At 42.0% G+C, this 10,165-nt stretch overlaps 1 non-coding gene and 1 pseudogene across 1 annotated transcript, besides 1 other annotated feature; one reads left to right on the plus strand and one right to left on the minus strand.

Moving 5' to 3' along the window:
• Nucleotides 5-94: a silencer, noted in NCBI's record as "silent region_14174". NCBI's record gives its function as "represses an Ori minimal core promoter by ATAC-STARR-seq in GM12878 lymphoblastoid cells {active_cell/tissue: GM12878}" and the evidence as "EXISTENCE:reporter gene assay evidence [ECO:0000049][PMID:35858748]".
• MIR548AY (microRNA 548ay) lies at nt 3,425-3,531 on the minus strand. Its single transcript, NR_106753.1, has one exon. It is a non-coding gene; the product is annotated as a microRNA 548ay (primary transcript).
• Nucleotides 5,073-5,504, plus strand: RPL31P18 (ribosomal protein L31 pseudogene 18; annotated as a pseudogene).

The raw sequence follows: 10,165 nt of genomic DNA on the forward strand, positions 1-10,165 counted from the left end.
TTCCGCCTGACTCCGCCCCTTCCCGCCCCCGCCCTTGGCCCGCCCCGCCCCCTCTCAGCAAATTTGCTTGTTAGCTGTTGGGATTCTTCCGACTTTCATCCAAGAATTGAGTTCTTTCTGTGAGCCTTTGATGGATTTCTCACCTCCCTCCATCTTTCATCCTCCTGACATTCATTCACTTAGTATTTTTGCGTACTTTCGGTGTGCAGTGAACCCCGTTCTAGGTACTTGGGTGACAGCCAAGTACTACCCAAAATCACAGGATCCCTAGTAACAGAGACAGACAATAAACAAGAAAACAGATGGATAGCAATTTCAGATAGTGATAAGTGACGTGAAAATATGATACGAAAATAATGGATTCAGCATTTCTGGTGGCTTGATAAATTTATTAAAAAAAAAAAGAAGATGGAGGAGGAGGAGAAGAGGAAGGAGAAGGAAAAAAGGATGGAGAATTGGGTGCTCTACTTAAATGGCCACTACTAAACTGAGTGGTCAGGAAAGGCCTCTCTGAGGACCATGATCTTTGAATTGAATGAGACTCAAAGTGTGAGAAGCCAGGCTTGTAAAGTTCTGGGGAGAGCCTTTCACGAAAGTGCAAATGTCCCGAGGACCAAATGAGTTTGACTCAATCTGAAGCCCAAAGGCCTGTGTCGCTAGGAATAAGTACGGGAGGAAAGGAGATGTTGGAGATGTAGGCAAAGGCCAGATAATGTGGAGGCCTTGCAGACCAAGGGAAGAATTCGTATTTCATTTGAAGTACAATGAGTTGTCTGTAAGGACTTTCAGAATCGCTCCCTCCCGCGTCTCCCGAAATTCCATTTAGGCTCACTTTTCAAAATCATTTCCTTTTTCTCTTTCTTGGTCACCAACTGCTACAGTCACATATGTTAATTTTGTGTGAACTTGTCAAGGAATGTAATTATATTTTAGCAACTGAAGTTGATTGAGTTACAGGATGTTCACAACAATATAAAGTAGGTTCGACAGTATAAAGTCGGTTACATTCATTTTCAAATGAGAAAACTGAGGCCAAGAGGCTGAAATCATATCCAAGGTCAAACAGCCAGGAGCAGCTGGAATGCAGGCCTAAGCAGTCTGACTCGAAACCTTGCTGCTAAACGCTAACCCAGAAAACGTCAGCTTCTAACTCATCTCTCCATTGGAGTCTCAAAACCCATGGAAGAGAGAAGGGGTTTCTGCTGCCATCAGCTGCTACATCTTCTCCGTGGCCCCAAACCTCCCTTTCTTCTTCCAGTAACAAACAAAAGCTCCCATTCAAATGAATAGAGACAAGTAGATACTGCCCTGCAGGGGCCACCTACAACCAGCCAGAACTACCCTTCTGTCTCTGATTACATGCACTCTGAATGTCCTCCCAAGGCCAAGATGCCACCAATTCTGTCCAACAAGGAAGGCCACTGTATTTTCACCAGGGCTACAAGGATTCATTGCCCCATTATTCTTCAAGTCACTATCATCCCAAATTAGACACTACTGATGTCTAAAAGTTCCTTTGAAATTCATCCAAAATTAAGATGAGTTGATGACTAGAGAGATGGATAAAAGATTTGTGATAGGCCAGGCGCAGTGGCTCACGCCTGTAATTCCAGCACTTCGGGAGGCCGAGGCAGGTGGATCACCTGAAGTCAGGGGTTCGAAACCAGACTGACCAACATGGTGAAACCCCGTCTCTACTAAAAATACAAAAATTAGCCGGGCGTGGTGGCGTGTGCCTGTAATCCCAGCTACTCGGGAGGCTGAGGCAGGAGAATCGCTCAAACCCGGGAGGTGGAGGTGGCAGTGAGCTGAGATCGCGCTACGGCACTCCGGTCTGGGCAACAGAGTGAGACTCCGTCTCAAAAAAAAAAAAAAGCAGGCCGGTCGCGGTAGCTCACGCCTGTAATCCCAACACTCTGGGAGGCCGAGGGGGACGGATCACGAGGTCAGGAAATCAAGACCATCCTGGCTAACACGGTGAAACTCCATCTCTACTAAAAATACAAAAAATTAGCCGGGCGTGGTGGCGGGCGCCTGTAGTCCCAGCTACTCGGGAGGCTGAGGCAGGAGAATGGCGTGAACCTGGGAGGCGGAGCTTGCAGTGAGCCGAGATCACACCATTGCACTCCAGCCTGGGCGACAGACCGAGACTCCGTCTCAAAAAAAAAAATCATTGTTAAAAAAACAACAACAACAAGGATCTCTAATAAAGCAACTGCAGTAACATATTAATGGTAATATTTAGGTGAAGTATACGGGTGTCCACTGTACAATTATTTCAGCATTTCTGTATGTTTGAACATTTTCAAAATAAAGTATTGGGAGGAAGTTACAAAGAAACAAGGATACTTTGAGACAAGAGAGAAGATGAACAGACTTCGTCAACCCTCTTGGTTTGTTTAGGGCACACTTATGCAATTCTCTAGGGGTCTCTGCTTCTCTTTGCATTTTTAGAAGAAGACACAAATTTAGCCTGTGATTCATAAACTCCAACATGGCGAAGAATCATCTGTGAGATTAATTAAAAAGGAAGATTCTTGGAGATCTAGCCCCAAAGATTCTGAATGTAGATGGGGCTTGGGAATATACTTTCGTAACAAGCTCTTCATGTGAATCTGGGAAGAAATCCATCCACATAGAGAAACACTGTTTTATAATGTGATAAAAGTGAAAGCCATTGTGTAGTAGACAGTAGACGTGCCATATTTTCTTTGCTCTGATTGATTTGGGGGTGCCTGGGATTTAGAGACTAATATTTCACCCAGGTAAAGAAATGGGCATCCCTTACATTTTCTTCATAAATTGAAAGACCAAATAAAAATGTTAGTGCTTCATGAGCAAATACTTGTATAGGAAACTCTTTTGATGGGCATATTCACACAGAAAACTGTCACCCTCATTAATGAATAAAACAACTTGCAATAGTCAAATGGTGGGACTCACTATGTTGAAATGAGAAATCTTACGTATGGTGAAAAAAATACGACAAAAAGAAGAAAGGAAGATACACTAAATTTAGGTTTTAAAGAATATTCACTGTTCTCCTTTAAAATTAGATATTTAATTTTTTAAAAAAAGAAAGAAAAACATTCACAAGAAGAGAGAGCGATTGGGGAACATAATTTGATGGGACTTCAGCCATTCAAAAAATAATGTGGTAGTGTTGGAGGCTGTTGCAAGACCTTGGTTCTTGTCTTCTTAGTTTAAAAGAATTTAAACAAGAGACATACAGCAAAAGAGATGCAGCATAATTTATTGCAAAAGAAAAAAAAATTTTGAAAGCTAAGTACAAAATAGACATCACACCCTGAGAGAGAGAGAGAATTCAGGGCAGGCTGCTCGTAAGGATGAGACAACATTGATTATTGCTGGAGGTTATTGCTAATCATGTATTATTTGCATGATTATTCATAAGGAGGTGGGAAGAAGTGTTACCGTTAGGTTCGTGCAAGAGTAATCGCGGTTTTGGCCATTACTTTAAATGCAAAAACCACAATTACTTTTGCACCAACCTAGTAGTAAGCATCTTCTGGTTGGTCCTCTGGCTGCACATGTGCAGTAGCTGTGCACCCATGTTCCTCCCTCAGGTGTCCCATTAGCATTGTAAATCTCCACCCAAGGGCATGTTTTTTGCTATTATAATGAGCAAAAGGTCAGTTTGAGGACAGGTAAAATCAAAGTGCTCATGCTCTCTATAGAAGAAATTTCCTACTGAAGATAGCTTTGCTCGACTGAGTTCAATCACAATTCAAATGCTGAGGCTTATTGTGTTGACTGTTGGGGTCACCATGGTTGCTGCGTCCTGAGGATATGGGCACTTCCTTGACTGCCTATCCTGCCTCAGTACTACTTTTTCAGTTCAGAGTTTAATTTTTTTCAGCAGTTCCTGCTAAACAATTTTTCACTGGCCCTCTTATCGGTATTAGCACAGTTAGGCAATACTGTGGATACAAAGTTAGATTATAGACGCTATCCTACAATGATACCACAGTAATGTCCACAAAGAACTATGTTACAAAATAGAAAGAGATATGTGTTATAGAAGAGATACAAATTAAATATGTTGCTAATTCGGAGCAGAGAGAAATAACTTTCAGTTTAAAGGATCACTACAGTGGAGCTTCAAGATGGGGTTAAACTATACTTCGGTTTGGACATGCAGATACAGGGCAGAAAGTATTCAGGCAGTAGGGTGGTATGAAGGAAGGCAAAGAAAGTGTGCATAGGCACAGTGAATGAAGGGAGCAGGAAAGGACAGAGTAGTTAAGGAATATAAGCTCGAGATCAAATTTTGGAAGGCTTTGAAAATCAAGCTAAGGAACTGGGCCTTTCCATTATTGTTGGGTAATGAAGAACCCCCAACGAGTTTTAGGAAGGGGAGTGAAATGATCGGAGCTTTTCCTTGGGGATATTTTTCTAGTAGCCTTGAGCGCAGTGGTTACAGAGATCCAAGTAAGGGCTATTGTAAAAGTTCAGGAGAGAGGGAATAGAAGCTTAAACTCTGACGTTAATCATGGGGATGGCACCAAGAGAACCTTGGAGGTAAAACCAGTGAGATTTGAGGACTGATTTGTTTAGAGAGTAAGAAAGGAACTGGAGCAGGTGCCAATATTTCAAGTCTGGGTAACAAGGAGATTGAGGGAGAATAATAACAGAGAGGTAATATAGGAGGCAGTAACTCTTATTGATGTCAAAGTACAAATTTCAAAAAATTAAAAAGATAACTTTCATACAAGCATATAGTAAGCCTGCTTCAAAGATTTATCTAATTTATTAATAGGCTGGGCTCATGCCTGTAATCCAGGCAGGAGGATTCCTTGTGTCCAGGAGTTCGAGACCAGACTAGACCCCATCTCTAAAAAAAAAAAAAGAAAGAAAGAAAAAAAAATTAGCTGAGTGTGGAGGCATATGCCTGTAGTCCCAGCTACTTGGGAGGTTGAGGTAGAAGGATCGCTTGAGCCCGGGAAGTTGAGGCTACAGTGAGCCTTGATTGTGCCATTGTGCCACTGCACTTCAGCCCAGGTGACAGAGTGAGACCTTGTCTTAAAAAAATAAAATAAAATAAAATATTGCCTTTCCAACTTGGACCCAACAGAATGGCTTCCGCAAAGAAGGGTGGCCAAAAGAAAAAGGGCCGTTCTGCTATCAACGAGGTGGTGACCCAAGAATACACCATCAACATTCACAAGCGCACCCATGGAGTGCGCTTCAAGAAGTGTGCCCCTTGGGCACTCAAAGAGATTCGGAAATTTGCCATGAAGGAGATGGTAGCTCCAGACATGTGCGTTGCTACCAGGCTCAACAAAGCTGTCTGGGCCAAAGGAATAAGGAATGTCTCATACCGAATCCGTGTGCGATTATCCAGAATAAGGATGAAGATTCACCAAATAAGCTCTATACTTTGGTTACCTATGTACCGGTTACCACTTTCAAAAATCTACAGACAGTCAATGTGGATGAGAACTAATTGCTGATGGTCAAATACATCAAAGTTATAAAATTGCAAAAAAAAAACAACCTAATTTATTAGTTAAGTAATCAGAAGAATGTAAAACTGGTTTATAGGCGGTTATGAGAGGGGTGTGTGTGTGTGTGTGTGTGTGTGTGTGTGTGTGTGTGTATTCAGTGAAAGAAAAAAAATAATGCTAAGATAAGATTGCTAGGTTAAATCCAAAACTGGTTTATGGTTTACCGGAAAATAAAATTGTTATCTTTGTGATGAACTCTAACACAGATAAATCATTTTTATCTCCCTCTAACAAAAATAATTTGCAATTTACCAATTTTCTATAATTAATACCTTAATTATGGAATCTGGGCCCAACTCAGTAATAAATACTAACTCAAAGAAAATTGTCTTTCCCTAGACGATCAGATGACCCTTAGGAGGGTTTTGTAGACCATGCTCTAGTCTAGGGGTCTGCAAACTTTTTCTTTAAAGAACCGGATAGTAACTATTTTAGGCTATGAGAGCCATATGGTCTCTGTCGCAACTACTCAACTCAACTGTTGTTGTAAAACAAAAGCAGCTGTGGATGATATAGTAACAAATGGGTGTGGCTGTGTTCCAATACAACTTTTATAACAGCAGGCAATAGGCTGAGCGCCGTGGCTCACGCCTGTAATCCTAGAACTTTGGGAGGGCAAGGCAGGCGGATCACCTGAAGTCAGGAGTTCAAGAGCAGCCTGGCCAACATGGTGAAACCCCCTCTAAAATACAAAAATTAGCTGGGAATAATGGCAGGTGCCTGTAATCCCAGCTACTCAGGAGGCTGAGACAGGAGAATCGCTTGAACCCAGGAGATGGTGGTTGCAGTGAGCCGAGATCACGCCACTGCACTCCAGCCTAGGCGACACTGTCTCAAAAACATAAAATTAAATTAAAAATTAAAATTAAAAAATAATAAAAGCGGGCAGTAGGCTGGATTTGGCCCACAAACCATAGTTTGCTAGCCCCTGCTCTAGTTCAGTAGTTCTCAAACTTAAGTGATCATGAGAATCCCCCGGAAGGCTTGTTAAACCACAGATTGCTGGATCCAACTTCCAGAGTTTCAGACTCAGTAGATCTTGGGTGGAACCTGAAAATTTGCACTCCTAACAAGTTCCCAGGTGATGATGATGCTGCTGGTCTAGGGACCACACTCCACACTTTGAGAACTACTGTGCTAATATGACATTGAAAGGGCACTTGGTAATCCTTATTTCCAGGTTTTGGGTCATTTGTTCCAACAAAGGGAAGATGAAGAACTCAGATTAGGGCACACTGAGATTGAGGTGCCAGAGGGCATCAAGCGGAGTTTGTGGTAAATAGTTTCAAATTTGGATCTGGAGGCTGGGCGCGGTGGCTCACACCTGTAATGCGAGCACTTTGGGAGGCCGATATGGGCCAATGACTTGAGGCTAGGAGTTCAAGACCAGCCCAGCCAACATGGTGAAACCCTGTCTCTACTAAAAATACAAAAATCAGTCGGGCGTAGTGGCGCATGACTGTAATCCCAGCTACTCGGGAGGCTGAGGCACCAGCTCTGTTTAAAAAAAAAAAAAAAGGATCTGGAGCATTGGAGGAAATAAAGCATTTGGGAAATACTCATAGAACTAAATAGTTACAGTCATAAAAGTGCTAAGGGGATGAACTTATAGGAAGAAGAGGATTTAGGCCAGAACTTTGGAAGGAGTAGGAAAGAAGGTGAAGAAGAGCCAAGAAAATAAAGCAGTGGTTAAAGAGCGGGAAGAGACAAGAGCAGTGATGTGAAGGCAAAGAAGAGTCTTAAATTGTATGAATATTTCCAAATTCCACAAAGTGTCCAAGAATGCCAGATAAGCAAGAACTTTGGATCAGAGATCTCCTAGGAGAGACAGCTTATCAAAGTTCCTCTCCCAACAAAACTAGACTAGAGAATAAGCAAGTAACATCATCAACCTCCACATTTTCTTTACACCAGCAGAGGGCCGCAAAGGCAAAGGAATGCTAAGGCTTCTGCACTCACCAGTGCAGGGTTAGTTCTTAGGTGTCATTAGGGGAAAAGATTGTGTGTCACTTAACCTCCTTGCTTCCATCATTATTTGGTTATTTTAGTCCAGGACAGTTTGACCACGTGAGTGAGGGATGTGATAAAGAAAGGAAGGAGCTTCTGAGTGCCTGGGGAAGGGAAAGGGTGGGGTCCAATTTGGAATTTGGATTGCAGGGAGACCCTGTCATCCCCAGGCAGCCCTAACACAAAGTCTAACCTCATAATGAGTGCCATTGCAGGTCATACAATCAATCTTACAGGTTTTGTCTTCATTATTGATTAAATTTTATTTTTTGAAAATATGAAACATTGATAAAGGTTTCAAAAGTAGAAACATACAAAAAGGTTCACTTAGAGAAATGTCACTCAGTCTCTATGCCTTCCACCTGATTCCCACCCACCCCTCCACTGTAAGTAACAAATTTTGTTAGTTTCTGGTTATCTTTCCTGTGTTTCTTTAGTGGAAAGGGACAGATACAGATGGGTATGTGTGTTACATATATATTAGTACTTTTTATTTTCATTTATCAATACATCCTAGAAGTTACTCTATATCAGTTCATAGAAATCAATTTCATTTGAAAAAAATTGTAGTTACTCCATCATGCAGCTATGTCACAGTTTATTTAGCCAGTTTCCTATCCATACGCATTTAGGTTGTTCCCACTATTTTGCAATTACAAATGGTGAATAAATCTGTGAATGTTACTTTTATATTGTGAATAATACTTTTGTATTACTTTTGTATCTTTAGGGTCAGTTCCTAGGCATGTGATTACTGAGTAGGCATATGCAATTTTGTTAAACTGCAAATTTCATTCACTAGAGGCTATATACTATTTGGCACTCCCTCGAGCAGTGAAGGAGTGCATGTATTTCTCCATTGCCTCTCCAACACTGTGGTCAAGCCTTTGAATTTTTTTCATTCTGATAGGGAGAAATAATATTTCAGTGTAGTTTTTTTTTCTTTGTTTGAGACAGACTTTCCCTCTGTCACCCAGTCTGGAGTGCAATGGCATGATCTTGGCTCACTGCAACCTCTGCCTTCCCGGCTCAAGCAATTCTCCTGCCTCAGCCTCCTAAGTAGCTGGAACTACAGGCATGCACTACCACGCCCGACTAATTTTTGCATTTTTAGTAGAGACAGGGTTTCACCATGTTGGCCAGGCTGGTCTCGAACTCCTGACCTGAACTGATCCACTAGCATTGACCTCCCAAAGTGCTGAGATCACAGGTATGAGCCACCGCGCCCGGCCTCAGTGTAGTTTTAATGTGTACTTCTCCCATGAGGAAAGCTGAACATATTTTCATATCAAGGGCCATTTTTATGTTATTTTTGATTTGTCTGTTCATGTCTTTTTTTTTTTTTTTTTTTTTGAGACAGAATCTTGCTCTGTTGCCAGGTTGGAGTGTAGGGACGCAACCTCGGCTCACTGCAATCTCTGCCTCTCAGGTTCAAGCGATTCTCCTGCCTCAGCCTCCCGAGTAGCTGGGACTACAGGCACGTGCCACCACACCCGGCTAATTTTTTGTATTTTAGTAGAGATGGGGTTTCACCATGTTGGCCAGGATGGTCTCGATCTCCTGACCTTGTGATCTGCCTGCCTCAGCCTCCCAAAGTGCTGGGATTACAGGCGTGAGCCACCGCGCCCGGCCAAGACAGGGTTTTGCTTTGTCGCCCAGAGCTGGATGGAGTACAATGGCTTGATCTCAGCTTACTGCAACCTCCTACACCCGGGCTCAAGCCATCCTCCTGCCTCAGCCTCCTGAGTAGCTGGGACTATAGGCACGCACACCCAGCTAATTTTTGTATTTTTTTGTACACCACCAGGGGTTCCTTACAGAGGTTCTGTAAAGTAGACTATTTTCAAAAGACTACTAAGAAGTCATTTGCCTTTTTCACTGAGGACATTTGTTTGCACTGCTAGTGGAGTAAAACTGCCAGCACCGTAGCACAAAACAAGGCAGTGGTGCCAAACTCTATTTGTAGTCATTGTATTCTTCACCACTACATGGGAAAAAATAAAGCCAGTTTCACTTAAAAAATTCCCTTGATGAACAAGTAAATGATTAATTTTGTTACATTGCAGTCATTTAGTACCAGTCCTTTTACAATTGTATGTGATAAGATAGGAAGTACACCTATAGCATTTCTGCTGCATGCTGAGTGACAATGGCAGCTCTAGGAGAAGAACTGGTGCTATTGAGTTATAAGTAAGCAAAACTAGCCACTTTTTTCACCATCTTACTTGAAAGAACAGGTTTCCAGATTTAGGTATTTGGCAGACATTTTCTCAAAAATGAACAAAATAAGCCTGTCAATACAAGGAATACAACTGACAGCATTTGTTGCCATTCATAACATTTGAACTTTCCAATAAAATTAGCATTTTGGAACACTTGTATGTAACCAGTGAGCTTGATAGCTTCCCAACACTTAGACTTTTCTAGTGAGATTAGTAGTAATATTAACAAATGGGCCTTTTTTTTTTTTTTTTTTTTTTTTTTTGAGACAGAGTCTCCCTATGTTGCCCAGGCTGGTCTCAAACTCCTAGGCTCAAGTGGTCCTCGCATCTCAGCCTCCTGAGTAGCTGGGACTACAGGTGTGCACCACCATGTCAGGCTACAGTGTGATTTTTTTGAAGAAATGTCAA

The sequence above is a fragment of the Homo sapiens genome, chromosome 3 (assembly GCF_000001405.40).
Source record: "Homo sapiens chromosome 3, GRCh38.p14 Primary Assembly".
Lineage (NCBI taxonomy): Eukaryota > Metazoa > Chordata > Mammalia > Primates > Hominidae > Homo > Homo sapiens.